The sequence below is a fragment of the Homo sapiens genome, chromosome 1 (genome assembly GCF_000001405.40).
Source record: "Homo sapiens chromosome 1, GRCh38.p14 Primary Assembly".
NCBI classification, from domain to species: Eukaryota; Metazoa; Chordata; class Mammalia; order Primates; family Hominidae; genus Homo; species Homo sapiens.
In genome coordinates this window covers 246598441-246616530 of record NC_000001.11, presented here as the reverse complement: position 1 = coordinate 246616530, position 18090 = coordinate 246598441, and the positions used below count along the sequence as shown (strand labels likewise).

The 18090-nt window shown below is 44.0% G+C and overlaps 1 protein-coding gene and 1 long non-coding RNA gene across 11 annotated transcripts in view, besides 1 other annotated feature; one reads left to right on the top strand and one right to left on the bottom strand.

Annotated features, from left to right (window-relative positions):
• The window catches only part of CNST (consortin, connexin sorting protein), a 102140-nt gene that overhangs the window by 52065 nt on the left and 31985 nt on the right, over window positions 1-18090 (bottom strand). The gene's annotated exons all lie outside the window — the stretch shown is intronic.
• LOC105373271 (uncharacterized) lies at window positions 7461-10336 on the top strand. The gene is made up of 2 exons (XR_001738569.2): window positions 7461-7548; window positions 9318-10336. It is a non-coding gene; the product is annotated as an uncharacterized LOC105373271 (long non-coding RNA).
• Window positions 16957-17144: a silencer, noted in NCBI's record as "fragment chr1:246762689-246762876 (GRCh37/hg19 assembly coordinates)". NCBI's record gives its function as "represses an EF-1alpha promoter that drives an FKBP-Casp9 reporter gene in an ReSE screen in HepG2 liver carcinoma cells {active_cell/tissue: HepG2}" and the evidence as "EXISTENCE:reporter gene assay evidence [ECO:0000049][PMID:32094911]".

The window sequence follows — 18090 nt, the reverse complement described above, 5'->3', positions numbered from 1 at the left end:
GCTGGAGTGCAGTGGCCCAATCATGACTCACTGAAGCCTCAACCTCCCAGGCTCAAGCGACCCTCCCACCTCAGTGTCCCGAGTAGCTGGAACCACAGGCACACACCACCAAGCCCGGATGATTTTTAAATTTTCTGGGGGGGCAGTGGGGGTGGTGTCTTGCTATGTTGCCCAGGCTTGTCTTCAACTTCTGGCCTCAACTGGTCCTCCCATCTTGGCCTCCCAAAATGCTGGGAGTACAGGCGCCAGCCACCATGTCTGACCTAAAATTCCTTCTGATACACAAAAAGTTTTCAAGATATATTTATAGTTAAGGAGAAAAACCAAATCAAAACATACCGCCCCATGTAATTCCCTACAAAATCTCACTCAATATAAATGAAGCTTTCTGCTGCCACATATGAATCCATATAGCTAGACAAGAACAAAAAGTTCTATTTATCGTTGTCATCCGTGAAAGCCAAGTGACCTATAGTTAAAAACTACCCATTAAATAACTTGGTGATGCTATTTATAAGTATTTAAAGACAGTAACAGGCACATTCATAAGACCTAATTTAAGACCTGTCAACTTCATTAAGCTCTAAAATGGAGATGACAGTTTACATGTAACTACTAAGGGTTTCAGAGATGTGGTTTCTTTTTTTTTTTGAGATGGAGTTTCTGCTCTTTTTGCCCAGGCTGGAGTGCAATTGCACAATCTCGGCTCACCGCAACCTCCACCTCCTGGGTTCAAGCTATTCTCCTGCCTCAGCCTCCCGAGTAGCTGGGATTACAGGTATGCATCACCATGCCAGGCTAATTTTGTATTTTTAGTAGAGACGGGGTTTCTCCATGTTGGTCAGGCTGGTCTTGAACTCCCGACCTCAGGTGATTCACCTGCCTCGGCCTCCCAAAGTGCTGGGATTACAGGCGTGAGCCACCGTGCCCGGCCCAGAGATGGGGTTTCATTATGTTACCCAGGCTGGATTTGAACTCATGGACTCAAATGATCCTCCTGCCTCAGTCTCCTGAGTAGCTGTGAAGAGGTATTATTTCTTTTTAAAAATTATTTGTGGCCGGGCACAGTGGCTCACGCCTGTAATCCCAGCACTTTGGGAGGCCGAGGCAGGCGGATCACGAGGTCAGGAGATCGAGACCATCCTGGCTAACACGGTGAAACCCCGACTCTACTAAAAATACAAAAAATTAGCCGGGCCTGGTGGCACGCGCCTGTAGTCCCAGCTACGCGGGAGGCTGAGGCAGGAGAATGGCGTGAACCCGGGAGGCGGAGGTTGCAGTGAGCCGAGATCGCGCCACTGCGCTCCAGCCTGGGTGACAGAGCGAGACTCCGTCTCAAAGAAAAAAAAATTTTTTTTTTGTAATAACCATGGGCCAAAGACTGGGGAAATTACCTTGATTGAGAAATTTTATTCAATTGATCACACCGCCTGAATTCTGTGTCAGTTCTAACATATAACTGCTCCGTTTAGCTTAGAATCTATCTCTGATAATGGTCAAGAGGCATTTTGTGAAACAATATAGTAGTATCCTTTAATGACTTTTACCTTAAAACACTAGGAATGTACCCTGACATTCACGTTCCTTTTAATAGTCTAGCATTGATCGGCAGATATTCACAATGCTCTGTGAATATCACTAAGGATATTACCATTTCTTTGCATGATTGGGAAAATGATGTGACTGGATGTTTAAGAGCAAAATCTCACAGCTGGTACTCTAGTTAGTAAGTAATTAAGAGAATAAAAAATTATTGCAGTCAGCCGGGCATGGTGGCTCACATCTGTAATCTCAGCACTTTGGGAGGCTGAGGTGGGCAGATCACGAGGTCAAGAGTTCAAGACCAGTGTGACCAACATGGTGAAACCCCGTCCCAACTAAAAATACAAAAATTAGCTGGGCGTGGCGGCGCATGCCTATAATCCCAGCTACTCAGGAGGCTGAGGCAGGAGAATCACTTGAACCCAGGAAGTGGAGGTTGTAGAGAGCGAGACTGTCTCCAAAAAAAAAAAAAAAAATTTATTGCAGTCAAAATGGGGACTGGAAAGATGTCACACAGAAAACACCAAGGCCTAGGTAAAGAGTGGCAATTATTATATATACGATGATACAGGTTAAGCATCTCTGATCTGTAAATCTGAAATCCGACATGCTCCAAAACCTGAAACTTTTTTAGTGCTGACAAGATGCCACAGGGAGAAAATTCTATACCTAACTTCATGTGAGAGGTTACAGTCAAAGTTTTATTTCATGTATAAAATTATTTTAAAATATTGTATAAAATTACCTTCAGTCTCTATACACAGGGTGGGTATAGGAAACATAAAAAAGCTGTGTTTAGACTTGGGTCCCATCCTCAAGATATCTCACTATATATATGCGAATATTCCATAATCAAAAAAAAACCTGAAATATGAAACACTTCCAATCTCAAGCATTTTGGATAAGGGATGTTCAACCTGTAGTGTTACTGATGCATAAACTAAGCTGATGGGCATTTTTGAGGATAGGGAAGGGTTATTTAAAGACCTCACACAGGCCAAGTGCAGTGGCTCATGCCTGTAAGCTCAGCACTTTGGGAGGCCAAGGCAGGTGGATCACCTGAGGTCAGGAGTTCGAGACCAGCCTGGCCAACATGGTGAAACCTATCTATACTAAAAATACAAAAAATTAGCTGGGCATGGTGGTGTGCACCTGTAGTTCCAGCTACTCGGGAGGCTGAGGCAGGAGAATCACTCGAACCTGGGAGGTGGAGGTTGCAGGGAGCCGAGATCAGGCTACTGCACTCCAGCCTGGAAGACAAAGCTAGACTCAGAAGAGGGAGACGGGAAGAGGGAGAGAGGGAGAGAGGAGGAGAGGTAGAGAGGAGGAGAGAGAGAGAGAGAAAGAAAGAATAAAAAAAGGCCTCATACAGTTCAAATATTGTATACTACTATTCAGAGTACAAGTACCCTATCATTCAAAACTACATTCGCTGCTTTTATACAAATACTTTCTTTGATCCAAGTGTTAAAGCTTCCTTTCACTGCAATGAAACTAGATCAAATTAAAAATCTGAGAGAAGGTTATGCCATTATTCAGAGACGATTACTGAAACAAACCCAAATCCACTACTTCCCTTAAGAGTGAACCATCCACCTTTTCTCTGATTGTGTTTTGTCTTGCTGAGGCTGGCAGGCAGGAATCATAGCCACCAACACACCCTGAGGAAAGGAATGTGCAATAATTGTTCTGCGGCAAATTGTGGAAAGTCATGTATTGCTTTAAGCACACTTTTAAAGTTCAGCAAAAGTGAGATAGTATAGCTTAACCATTAGACACAAAGTCTGAAGTCAGACTACCTGGGATGAAGTCCTGGGATGTACTTTATCTCAGTGATACACTTTTCAGCAATGACATCGGGCACGTTACTTAATCTCTCTGTGCTTCAGATCCCACATCTATAAATTGGAGCTAATTGTATTATGCTTGATAAGATTGTGACAAGGAGTAAATGAGATAATCCACATAAAGCATGTACCACAGTGGCTGGCATATAGTAAATAATAAATGCTCGAGAACTATGTTTTAAAACTCAGCAAATTTCAATTAGTTAAGCTTTGTATGTCCCTAACACTGAGTTTGGAGTGTTATATATATATTTTTTGAGACAGGGTCTCACTCTGTCACCCAGGCTGGAGTGCAGTGGTACAATCATGGCTCACTGCAGCCTCGACCTCCCCAGTTCAAGTGATCCTCCCACTGCAGCCTCTGAAGTAGCTGGGACAACAAGTGCACACCCCCTGGCTAATTTTTGTATGTATTTTTTTAGAGATGGGGTTTCACCATGTTGCTCAGACTGGTCTCGAATTCCTGGGCTTAAGCAATCTGCCCGCCTTGGCCTCCCAAAGTGCTAGGATTATTGGATCGAACCACTGCGCCTGACCTGTTATGATTTTGGGGGGCTATTTTTTTAAAAAAACATAACACAAAATTTAACATTTTAAACATTTTAAGGTATACAATTCAGTGGCATTAAACACGTCCACAGCTGGCCACGGTGGCTCACGCCTGTAATCCCAGCACTTTGGGAGGCTGAGGCAGGTGGATCACCTGAGGTCAGGAGTTCGAGACCAGCCTGCCCAACATGGCGAAACTCCGTCTCTACTAAAAGTACAAAAAATTAGCTCGGCGTGGTAGCATGCACCTGTAATCCCAGCTACTTGGGAGGCTGAGGCAGAAGAGTCACTTGAACCTGGGAGGTGGAGGTTGCAGTGAGCCAAGATTGTGCCACTGCACTCTAGTCTGGGCAACAAATGCAAAACCCTGTCTCAAACAAACAAAAAAATACATTCACAATGTTGTTCAATCATCACCACTATCCATTTCCAAAACTTTTCATCATTCCCAAAGAGAAACTCAGTGCTCATAAAATACTAATTCTTCATTCCCCTTTGCTCCAGCTCTGGAAACCTCTATTCTACTTTCTGTCTCTGTGAATTTGCCAATTCTACATAGCTTATATAAGTGGAATCATAAAATATTTGTCCTTTTGTGTCTGGTTTCTTTTACTTAGCATACTGTCCTCAAGGTTTATCTGTGCTGTAGCATCCATCCAACCATACGTAGCGTGTATCAGATTAGCATTCCTTTTTAAATCTGAACATTTCATTATATGTATATACTACATCTTGTTTATCCATTCATCAGTTGATGGACATCTGGATTGTTTCTACCTTTTTGCTACTGTGAATAATGCTGCTATGAACCTTAGTGTACAAGTATCTGCTCGGGTCCTTGCTTTCTATTCTTTTGGGTATATACCTAGAAGTTAATGGCTGGATTAAATGGTAATTCTATGTGTAACTGTTTTCCTAAAGCTCTATTATTTTAACTCTATCTCAACCAGTGTCTTGAGACTTCAATATCTGTGCTGGTTTTTTTCCATCTCTAAAACAGAGATAATATTACTTCCCAAAGATTAATTGGTTTGAGTTTCTAAATCAATGACATCCTTATCTAAAATATGCTTTTGTATAAAAATATGAAATAGTAGTACTCTTTCAGAGCAGTTCGATCTAATTCCATCCCTCTGGGCACAGTTCTTGCTACTGGAAGCCCTAAAATGAAAAGGCCTTGAGTGTCATAAGCAAAATGACAGAACAGGCAGCTTCAAACTCTGAGGCTTTCACAGAAATATTTTAAAAAAAAACAACATCCAGAACTATAAGATGTAACTTTCTTAGAACTGTGAAAAACAAAGGTATGCCTGAACAAGACAGTGACCACCGAATCAAGAGAAAGGCAATGTCAAAAGAGTAGCAAAGCTTTGGGTGTTTTTACTTGCCCTTACCTCACCCCTTTCCCCAGCTCAACAGCAGCCCTCATTCCCAGTGTGGCACCCCAGTACTTGCTTTTGAAGGGAGCAGAGCAGATCTTACTTGCAAATCACTGTGTTTGTTCTAATCTGTCTGGGGCTACCCAAAGACTGAAACAAGGCACTTGCCTCTCTGTTGCAAAACTCAGAACACGTTCAGAGCAGAAAAGCAGCAGGTGTTGCTGGAAAATATTGTCAGGTGATCAAAAACCCACGGCCAAGCGGGCGGAGGGGTGCAAAAAAAATACGGTTGAGGCATAAACTAGACAATCTAAAGCCAGGGGGAAAAGCCAGGAAGATCGCTTCCTTGGGAAATCAGAGCATTCAAAAATGTTTGTGGTACTGTAGAATTCAGAAAGCTACACGCGACAGCTCAGGACACGACGCACGCTTAGAAAGGGCCAGAGAAGACCCATCAACTTAGTGCAAGCAGAAGTGAAGGCTGGGGCAGAATTATAGATGACCTGGCTAAGTGTTAAAGGAGTACCTGAGCACAGAGCCAATCTGAAAGACTGGAAAAGAAACACAAGCTAAGGCTTCAGCAATCAAGAACAGCCAACCCTGAACAAAGGCGAGACCCTAATTTCCAGAGTTACCACATCATAATACACCAATGTCCGGTTTTCAATACAAAGACATCACCAAGCATATCAAAAAAACAGTACAGTGTGGCCCATTCTGGTGAAAGAAATACATAGACAGAAAACATCCCGGAAGAAGCCGAGACATTGAATTTCCTGGGCAAAGAATTTAAATCAACTGTCTTAAAAGAAACCATAGATGAAGAACTAAAGGAAATCAGGAAGACAATGTAGGAAAAAATGAGAATATCAATAAAAAAGACAGAAAATATAAAAAAGAATGGGGAGGTTTTTTGTTTGTTTGTTTGTTTTTGCGACGGAGTCTCGCTCCATTGCCCAGGCTGGAGTGCAGTGGCACGATCTCAGCTCACTACAACCTCTGCCTTCTGGGTTCAAGCAATTCTTTGCCTCAGCCTCCCAAGTAGCTGGGATTACAGGTGCTCGCTACCATGCCTGGCTAATTTTTTGTATTTTTAGTAGAGATGGGGTTTCACCATCTTGACCAGGCCAGTCTTGAACTCCTGACCTCATGATCCACCCGCCTCAGCCTCCCAAAGTGCTGGGATTACAGGCCTGAGCCACTGCGCCTGGCTGGGAGTTATTGTTTAATGGCACAGAGATTCTGTTTGGGGAGATAAAAGTTTTAGAAATAGATATAAATGATGGTTGCACAACATTATGAATGTAATTAATGCCACTGAACTGTAGAATGAAATGGTTAAAATGGCACATTTATGTACAGAAAAAAATGTCTTCAGTTCTGTGATTTAATGGGTCTTTGAGTCATTGCATAACCGAATTCCTCAAACCGCCTTACCCATTAATGCTGATGCATATCTTGGGCATAATTTTGGAAGGCAGATCAGAAATAAATTTTAACACACGCTTGATGTGGTTCCTGTGAAGAATCTCTCTGCCCTGCTCCCTTTTTCTGACATGTTTCATCCTCTAAGGTTCTGATCAATGCCATGAAAATGGAAAGGAGGGTGAAGGACAATGCTCACTTTTTTTTCTTTGAGACAGAGTTCCGTTCTTGTTGCCCAGGCTGGAGTGCCATGGCATGATCTCGGCTCACTGCAGCCTCTGCCTCCCAGGTTCAAGCAATTCTCCTGCTTCAGCCTCCCAAGTAGCTGGGATTACAGGCGCCCACCACCATGCCCATATAATTTTTTGTAGTTTTAGTAGAGACGGGGTTTTGCCATGTTGGCCAGGCTGGTCTCAAACTCATGGCCTCAGGTGATCCGCCTGCCTCAGCCTCTCAAAGTGCTGGCATTAAAGGCGTGAGCTGCCGTGCCTGGCCAGTGCTCACCTTTTAAATACCTCCAGTCATTGGCTAACCATACCGAAGCAGCAAACAGGAAACATCCCTTCCTTTTCCTCAACACTAGACACGGGTATTATGACTGAAATAAATCTGGAAATTAGTCAACTTCCTTCTGACCTGACCTCGGGCCAAAAGAATGTATTATGTGATTATGACATAATTACCACGTGCTGAGTGTGCCATGCTCCCTCCCACACCCCCGGGTTGCACCCTCTGCCTGCAGAGGGAGTGATGCAGGGCTTCACTGAAGAGCTTAGGCTGGAGTCCAGCTGCCCTGTTAACCTAAAGTAAGCAACCTGACTCGCTCAACCCGTCTTCTTGTAAACTAATGGCAAAAGGTTAAATAAGGTGACGTACAACGTACATCCAGAATTTACTAGGCATACAACATGGCGACACTATTCTTGCACTTGAGTGTTGACTAAGTGGTTTTAATGTCAATACAGGGACGGGAAGACAGGAACAGCCACTGGACTTGATTTCAGGTGGCAGTCTTAAAACGAACCTCATGAAACTCCAGTGGAATTTGAAAAATGCGTGGGAACAAGAGCTCCCTTAGGCTGCTAACGGCCAAGGCTCCCCATCCCTTGGTGCTTAGGTTGTAAAAGCAGGTAACCCACGGGCTTAAATCCTGTTGATCACACAGCATTTATGTGACTCCCGCAAGCTCCACCACTGTCTAGAGCCTGCTTCAGGCTTTCTAATCAAGGCACAATCAGTACACATAAATATTTCTGGGATTTAGCATCTAAATTATGTAGAACATGTCAATAAGCATTAATGTTTGGATTCTCTACTTTTCCTCTCAGAAGTTTGATTAGACATTTTACACTTTAACACGTTTTATTAAAAACTAAAACTGTGTAAGACATTTGCCCAAGCATGCAATTTGTGATGCTAATTCTTAAACCTCTTCTTTTTTAAAAAAACGTTAAAGACAGGGTCTCTGTTGCCCAGGCTACAGTACAGTGGCAGGATCATACAAACTCGAACTCATGGGGTCTAGTGATGATCCTCCTACCTCAGCCTCTTGAGTCAATGGGACCTCAGGCACATGCCACCATGCCCAGCTAATTTAAATTATTTATTTATTATTTATTTATTTGTTTTTTTTGTAGAGACAGGTTCTCTATGTTTTCCAGGCTGGTTTTTGTTTTGTTTTGTTCTGTTTTCTTGTTGTTTTGTTTTTTGAGACGGAGTCTTGCTCTGTTGCCGGGCTGGAGTGCAGTGGTGCAATCTCGGCTCACTGCAATGTTCACCTCCCCGGTTCAAGGGATTCTCCTGCCTCAGCCTCCCGAGCAGCTGGGACTACAGGCGGGTGACACCATGCCCGGCTAATTTTTGTATTTTCAGTAGAGATGGGGTTTCACCATGTTGGTCTGGATGGTCGCGATCTCTTGGCCTCGTGATCCGCCCACCTCTGTCTCCCAAAGTGCTGGGATTGTAAGCGTTGAAAGATTCTCCCCGGGGCCTGAAAGCTTGGGGGGATGAATAACTCCTCCCTTCTCAGGCCCAGTCCCAAAGCACACTTGCGCCAGCAGCATGTGTCACCAAGGTAGCCGAAGCAGGAAGAGGGCTGGCCGGAAGACATTACTCCTGAGGATCGAGAGAGAGGCCATCCGGGTACCACGTAGCAGTGACGTCAGACAGGGACACTTCCTGTTTACAGGAGACTGTAAAACCCCTGCCCGGTCCTCACGTGGGGCTGACGCCATCTCAGGCCTCAGCCCGTCTGCACCCAGGCGCTCTTTAAACAGCGTGAGGCTCCACACTGCCTTGTGCTGTCTGTTGGCGCGCTCCCGGGGTTAACTCCCCCGAAAATCACCCGTGGTACTTCCATCCCTTTATACAAAAACCATAAGCAGACGTATCCCCTCCCTAGCCAGGAAAAAACCGGTTTGTAGATCTAGGAGAGGGCATCGCGCTTACCACGAATGTGTCCAATTGCTGGGTATGCGGGGGAGCCCGCAGGAGTGAACAGTGGCCGTGGCATGGGATAGACCTTCCCCCTTAATTACTAGCATTTCAAAACCCCAGCCTCACTTTGAATTCTCAGGAACGCCCGTCGACCTGGACACTTACCAACCCAGTAAGAGGGACGGCGTGCATATCCCGCAAGTGGACTGATAAAACCCATCGTGCCGCAGGTGAAAGCCCGTCACCAAACCCTAACAGTCAACGCCTCCACAGCCGAGTGGTGGCCAAGGTTACCCCCCGGAGCCTGGTCTCCCTCTAACTTCAGCTACCTCAATTGTGTCTTGTCAAAAAAGGCCTGGAACTGTACAAACACCACTAACTCTTCTGCCACATACGCCTGCCTAAGTGCACTATGCGACAATCCTAGGAACACCAGCTGACGACGGACTGCCCCGATGGATTCCTTTGGATATGGGGAACCCAGGCTTGCTCACGGCTACCTTAGCACTAGCTTCCTACGCACAATTCAACCTGGATTCATCTTACTTCCAAAGCAGGCGGGCAACACCCTCGGAGTCCCTGCGTATGATAACCAGAGAAAAACGGTCCTTAAAGGCAGGAGGAAGCCAAAGACCGTGAGAGGACGAGTGGCCTCCGCAATGGATCATCGAATATTACGGTCCTGCCACCTGGGCTGAGGATGGTTCACGGGGTTATCGCACTCCCACATATATCCTAAATAGAATAATTAGACTACAGGCTGCTCTAGAGATAATCACTAACCAAACCGCCTCAGCCCTGGAAATGCTCGTGTGACAACAAAACCAAACGCACCCAGCAATTTATCAAAACAGGCTGGCTCTAGACTACTTATTAACAGAAGAGGGTGCGGTCTGTGCTAAGTTTAACATGTCCAATTGCTGTCTTAACATAGATGATAATGGAAAAGCGGTTCTAGAAATCGCTTCAAACATCAGAAAAGTAGCCCGTGTACCAGTCCAAACCTGGAAGGGATGGGACCCAACAAACCTTCTAGGAGGGTGGTTCTCTAATTTAGGGGGATTTAAAACGCTGGTAGGGACAGTAATCTTCATCATTGGGGTCCTCCTGTTTCTCCCCTGTGGTATCCCACTGATAATAAAAGCCATTAAAACTCTTGTTGAAACTACAGTTAACCGCCAGACAATCCAGACGATGCTCCTGCTACAACGACACGATGGATACCAACCCGTCTCTCAAGAATACGCCAAAATTTTTTCTTTTTTTCCGAGGTGCCCACGCCACCCCCTATGTCACACCTGAAGTAGTTATGGAGAAAGTCGCCCCTTTTCCCTTTTTCTATAACCAAATAGACAGGAATGAAAGATTCTCCCCGGGGCCGAAAGCTTGGGGGGATGAATAACTCCTCCCTCCTCAGACCCAGTCCCAAGGCGCAAGGCCGCTTGCACCAGCAGCGCGCGTCAGCGAGAAGCAGAAGCAGGAAGAGGGCCGGCCGGAAGACACGCACCCCGGCCGGAAGACACCTACCCCGGCTGGAAGACACGCACCCCGGCCGGAAGACACCTACCCCGGCCGGAAGACACCTACCCCGGCCGGAAGACACGCACCCCGGCCGGAAGACACCTACCCCGGCCGGAAGACACCTACCCCGGCCGGAAGACACCTACCCCGGCCGGAAGACACGCACCCCGGCCGGAAGACACCCACCACCGAGGATAGACAGAGAGGCCATCCAGGTACCACGTAGCCGTTACATCAGACAGGGACACTTCCTGTTTACAGGAGACTGTAAAACCCCTGCCCCGTCCTCATGTGGCGCTGACGCCATTTTAGGCCTCAGCCCGTCTGCACCCAGGCGCGCATTAAAACAGCGTGATGCTCCACACCGCCTTGTGCTGTCTGTTGGCGCGCTCCCGGGGTTCCAACTGATATTAGAGCCTTGCAGGCGTGAGCCACCGCGCCCGGCCCAGGCTGTTCTTTAACTCATGGACTCAAGCGACTCCCTTGCTTTGGCCTCCCAAAATGCTGGGATTATAAGTGTGAGTCACCGTGCCTAGCCAAATTCTTAAAACTACTTATCCAGGTCCACAAACAACTCAAGCACCATATTTTGGATTTTTCAAATCCGATTAAATTCATTGTTTATCCATTGGAAGTACACTGACTTTGCTAATATCAAAATGGCTAAATTTTACCATATTTTCCCTGTTCATTCCAAGCACACTGAATTCATCAACTATCAGAATTCTCAAAATTTACATGACCTTATAAGAAAGTATATGATTTTCTTACAAGTATATGATTTTCTCGTATGTCTGAAAATAAACATATTTTGTTTCTCTAACAAATATAAAGGCATGTATTTAAATTCAAAACAAAAATAATGGTGCATGTGCGGTGGCTCACGCCTGTAATCCCAGCACTCTGGGAGGCCGAGGCAGGCGAATCATGAGGTCAGGAGTCTGAGACCAGCCTGGCCAATATGGTAAAACCCCATCTCTACTAAAAATCCAAAAATTAGCCAGGCATGGTGGTGCATGCCTGTAATCCCAGCTACTTGGGAGGCTGAGGCAAGAGAATCGCTTGAACCCAGAAGGCAGAGGTTGCAGTGGGCGGAGATCACGCCATTGCACTCCAGCATGAGCAATACAGCAAGAGTGCAACTCAAAATAATAACAATAAATATAAGTATTATATATATATATTCCGTCTCCTGAAAATATATATATTTGTGGGAGAAGGGGGAGAGCCTAATAGCCAAAGCAAACCAAACAGTGAAATTTTCCTTAAAAGCCCCCCTTCTTTAATATTCCATAATTCTCTAAAAGCTACTAACATCAGAGATTCTCTTTGCAATTAATGAAATCATATAAGAACGGAAGCATTAGAAGCCCAGGGGTTAACCCTGAACTTTCAATAGATCAAAACAAACGCACAGAGAAACACATTTAATGGCATTTTATTATAGTTTACAGAAAATTGTTACATCAATTTCCATTACACTAGTAGTTTTTAAATTTTGTGGAGACAAATAACTACACCGTTTCTTCATATCATCAAACCAACTATCACCAAGCCCCTTTTTTTTTTCTTTTTTTTGAGATGGAGTCTTGCGTCTTCGCCCAGGCTGGAGTGCAATGGCGCGATATCGGCTCACTGCAGCCTCTGCCACCCGGGTTCAAGCAATTCTCCTGCCTCAGTCTCTCCAGTAGCCGGGCAGGGTGGCTCATGCCTATAATGGTACAGGCACGCGCCACCACCCCCGGCTAGTTTTTGTAGTTTTAGTAGAGATGGGGTTTCACCGTGTTGGCCAGTTGGCCAGGCTGGTCTCAAACTCCTGACCTCAGGTGATCCACCCGCCTAGGCCTCCCAAAGTGGTGGGATTACAGTGTGAGCCACCACGTCCAGCCTTTTTTTCTTTTAACGGCTTTACTGAGATATAATTCTCATAACACATAATTCAGTGGCTTTACTTCAGTATACTGTGTTGTACAACCATCACCATGTTACATTTTGGAACGTTTATTACCCCAAAGAGAAATCCCACATCCTTTAGCTGTCACCCCATCCCCCTACTGCCTCCCTAGCTCTAGGCAGCCAACTCATCTACTTGCTGTCCATATAGATTTGCCTATTCTGGACATTTCACACATATGTCCTCTTTCACTTAGCACCTTTTCAAGATTCATCCATGTTACACCATGTATTAGGATTTTATTTATTTTCATTGCTAAATAGCATGCATATAACCTCTACCTGCTTTTCATTTGTGTGACTACATTTCCAAATGTTCACTTGTGTGCCTTTTACAAACTAAGCGGCAGGCGCATATAACTTTGTTTAAAAAAACAAGACAACAAAAAACTCTTAATTGTAGTTCTCACCCTATCAGTGATGCCTAGAAACCATTATTTTAAACAAATGAAGACAAAACAGTCACTCTTTGTAGAGATCGTGATCCAGTAAAAACAAAAGGAGTAAACAGAAAAGCAAAAGGTGACTATTTAGAAAACGATTAAATATTGGAAAGTTTGACTTTCACAGTAAAGAACTGAGAAGCCAAGAGTCCCTAAACTCCCACCTAAGCTTCCACTAATCTGAGTCCTATAAAATCAGTAATAAAATACCGTATTTTAAAATATAGCCTATATGCTTATATCTAAAAACTTTTAAAAAGTCTTCATTCATCTAGGTTAATATGTATGTAACTGCATAAATATTCCCATGCATCTGGAGGTAAATCTCTTAATTTCTTAGTTTTGATTTCTTAATTTTTCTTCACATAAAATATCACATTACTTAAAAAATACCTAACTCATTACTGAGACTTGGAGAATGCTGTTTTTTGGGACAGAATTTGAAAGGTTTGATTGATTGTAATTCTTTTCTTTTTCACCTTCTCTCTGCATAGATACTGCATTTTAACAGCACGACTGAAATCATAAAAAAAAAAAACTAGACAAAAAGAAAACTATCTAACTGGGCTGTCTGTACCATCATATATCCTGGGTTCCACCTGCAATCTCAGGAAAGGTGTTCAGAGGGAAAAAAGGAACTGTGAATAGAATTGCCATTACATTCTCACGGGGTCCTTGCCACAATCTGAGGCACCGACTTTCTCCTGGCATCCTTTAAGATGGGCCCCCGTGATTCCTGCCTCTTGGTATTTGTGCCCTTTTACAACCTCCTCCCATAAGTACAAGTTGGACCCAGTAACCTGCTTCTAATGAAAGGAATATGCAGAAGTGATGGAATATCACTTCCAAAATTAGGTCATTAAAAAAGTATGACTTCCAGGTTGAGTGCTCTCTCTCTTTGACTGCTAGCCCTGGAGGAAGCCAGCTGTCATGGTGTAAGGCAGCCCTGTGGAGTGGGCCATGTGGCGAGGGTCTGAAGCCTGCCAAGAACCATGTGACCTTGGAAGCAGATTATCCAACCTCTATCAAACCTTGAGATGACTATAGCCCTGGCCAACCCTTGACTGCAACCTCATAAGAGACTTAAGTCAGAAGCTCCAAGCTAAGCCACACACAGATTCTGACCCACAAAAACCACGAGATGATACATGTTTGCTGTTTTCAGCTGCTAAGTTTTGTTACGCTGCAAGAGATAGCTAATGCACAGACCATGCACAATTCTTCAATTTTCTGCTTTTTTATTATATTTTGTTGATCCCTTCCTCTGACGTTTGTACTTTCAATTGTAACAAACACCTTTCCCAACACTCCTGGAAATGGTGCAGTCTGTTGGAAAGAGCTAGATAACAGCAGGGAATGCATTTCTATCATTCTAACCATCAGTTTAGGGTCCTCTTATAAGTAGGTGGTGTGTTACTCCCAACTATCAACCCTTAACTAAGCTTTCCACTAAAGGGTTTTCTCTCATTAGCATTCAGAATATCCAAGAGGTAATACTTCAAAACTCATCTCCTACCATCTTCCAAACTGCTCTCTCCATTCCATTCCACACACACACAGTGAATGTGTGTCAGTTCTAGAAGCAGACTATACACCCTTGCAATAATTTTATTTATTTATTTATTATTTTATTTTATTTTTGAGACTGAGTTTCGCTCTTGTTGCCCAGGCTAGAATGCAATGGCATGATCTCGGCTCACTGCAACCTCCGCCTCCCAGGTTGAAGTGTTTCTCCCGCCTCAGCCTCCTGAGTAGCTGGAATTACAGGCATGTGCCACCACGCCCAGCTAATTTTGCATTTTTAGTAGAGATGGGGTTTCTCCATGTTGGTCAGGCCGGTCTCCAACTCCTGACCTCAGGTGATTCACCCGCCTCAGCCTCCCAAAGTGCTGGGATTACAGGTGTGAGCCACCGTGCCAGGCCATTAATTTTATTTAATACCTGCCTTCCCACTGGACTCCACCAGGGGTCTAGGAGGGTAAGCACAAGATCTGCTTTGTCCTTACTGTATTCCTAATGCTTGGCAAATATTTCTACAATAGAAAAAATCACTAACAGTTGGTGGCTCATCATCATTTTTACCCTACCAACAGAACCTCATTGTTTTGTATTGTTTTGTTTTTTAATTTTTTGAGACAAGAGTCTCATTCTGTCACAGGATGGAGTGCAGTGGCGTGATCATGGCTCACTGCAGCCTTGACCTCCCAGGCTCAAGTGATCCTCCTGCCTCAGTCTCCTGAGTAGCTGGGACTACAGATGTATGCCACCACGCCTGCTATTTTTTTTATTTTTTGAAAAGACCAGGTCCTACTGTGTTGCCCAGGCTGGTCTTGAAACCCCTTGACTCAAGCAGTCCTCCTGCCTCGGCCTCCCAAAGTGCTGGGATTACAGGTGTGAGCCACCATGCCTGGCGTCTCATTGTTTGGTGGGAGAAGTAGGCCTCTGATGCATAGAAAACACATTCTAGCTCATTAGGAGCCCTAGATTCACATCCTAATTCTTATTCTGTCTCCTGCAAAAATGAACAATGTATTCTCTCAATTAAATCTTTAACTTCCTCACATGTAAAATCTAAGAAGTTAGACTAGGTCACTTTTAAGGCCCTCTCTAGCAACTCTCCCAAATCTGTATCTCTAGCCAAGACCAGAAGCCTGTTTAACAGGTCTACTCAGACGTCTACGACACCCCAGACACCTGACCCAAAAGCACAACACTGTCTTCTACTCTCTTCTCTCCAAACTTGCTCTTTCTCTCCCTGTATTCCTATGCTCAATAAATCAATAAATGGCATTATCAAGCATCCTGGTGCTTAAACCAGATAACTGAGAATTAGATTATCCTGGACTCTTTTTTTCATATCTAATTAATGATCCAGTCCTGTTAATTCCACCTCCTTAGTAACTCTGAATTCACTTACTTCTCTCCAGCCGTACAGCTACTCTCTCATTACAGATCACCAGCATCTCTGGCAGATGTTACTGTAAAACCCCTTAACTCTGTATTACTTCTAATCTTCCATTGCTCCAACCAATTCTCCACACTGCAGACTGAGGAATCTTCTAAAAAATGCAATTCCCTTATTCAAACCTGTTGTTAAGGCCCAAACTGGTCATGTTAAAAACAATTTATAAGCTGGACTTTGCTAATCTTCTAAGCCTCCATCTCTCTACTGCTCTACTCTCTACTATTTCCCCTTGATTCACTCTTTTCTTTTATTCTGCTCAAGCAGGAATATTAGCAGATACTGAAATGTAGGATGCTCTCTTCTTGTCTTGTGAGCTCTAGCCCATGGTACGCCTGCCATCTCTGACGTCCTTCCTCTCCTCTTTGTCCGCATTGCTTTTACTTCACTAGCACCTATTTGTCCTAACTCAGCTTAGATACCAACTCCTCCTGACAACCTTCTCTAACTCTCCAGGACAGGTTACCTCCACGACCATGTGCTTACTTATGACTCCCGTCTTGCTAGACTGCACTTGTTAGTTACGTGGCTCCCTCACTTGAGCATACAAAACTGAAAGGGAGGTGCACCAGCAGTTTTATAGTGCCCAGCAACAATGCTCAATAAATATCTATTGACTATGTAATCCTGTACGGGTCTACAAAATAATGTCAGAAAAACTTTTATAAAGTGAAGAATTATTCTGTTATGTAAAGTTATCATCTAGTCTATATTAAAATCTTTTTGTGGTAGGCAGAATAACAGCTCCCAAAGATGCCCATGTCCCCATACCCAGAACTTATAAATATGCTGCTCGCTTTAGCCTCCCAAAGTGTTGGGATTACAGGTGTGAGCCATTGCGCCCAGCCCAGCTGATCTTTAAAAAGGGAGATTATCCTGCAATATATGGGTGGACCCAGTGTAATCACAAGGGACCTTAAACGTGGAAGAGAGAGGCAGAAGTGTCAGCTGGTCAAAGTGATGCAATGTGAGGACTTGAGCTCACTTCAAAGCCACTGCTGGCCTTGAAGATGGAGGAAGGGTAACAGAAGCTGGGGAATGTGGGAAGCCTCTAGAATCCGGAAAAGGCAAGGAAACAGATTCTCCCAGGGAGCATCCAGAAAGGGACACAGCCCTGCTAACACCTTGATGTTAGCCCAGTAGGAACCATGTCAGATTCTTCATCTACAGAACTGTAAGATAATAAATTTGTGTTGTCGTGTGTTTAAAGCCACTAGATTTGTAAATTTGTGATAACTTGTTCCAGTAGCAATAGAAAACTAACACACTTTTAATATTGGGGCTTTTTTTTTTTTTTCCTAAGACAGTTTTGGCTAGTGACCTTGAAGTCTCTTCTGACTGTGAAATTATTTGACTCTATATAAATCAGGAACTCTTTATTCTATTCTTACTAGCTGACCTTCAGAAAAGACATGGCCTGCCTTCATTGATCAATCCCTTAAAGAAGGAAGAGTAAAATGAGAGGCTACTGTTTCTGCATGTCATTGTCCAAAGAAATGTTAACTTAAAAGAGGTGGAACATCTACTAGGAGCAGAAATAAGGTAAACCAGGACTTCTGAATTCTGAAAGTGTGGTATGTACTCCTAAGGGAGTTAAACTGTCCGTCTATCTACCTAGTGAGTAGAATGGGTTACAATCACAAAACATCAACCCCAGTCCCTATCATTCTGCTTACAGGGGCTTAGCCAGGCATTTACATTTTAAAAATTTGAATGCACTTAGGCAGGGCATGATGTAGACTCCTGTTCACCACAGTCCCCACCAATCTCAGGGATCTCAACTCTGGCCAGTACAGATATTACCCAATTGTCTCCATAAAGCTGATTTAGAGGCCAGCTATCAATGTTCTACTATAGCCGAAGTCAATATATAAAAATGCAAATAGGCCTTTGGGGATTCATATTTTATGGCATTACTAGTTATTACTTTTGATATCAGTTAACATCCCAAAAAGCAGGTTGCATCTGACATTAAACTAGTATGGAACTGGAAATATATTTTTAGGAATGTACATTAGGGGAATGGGGCAGGG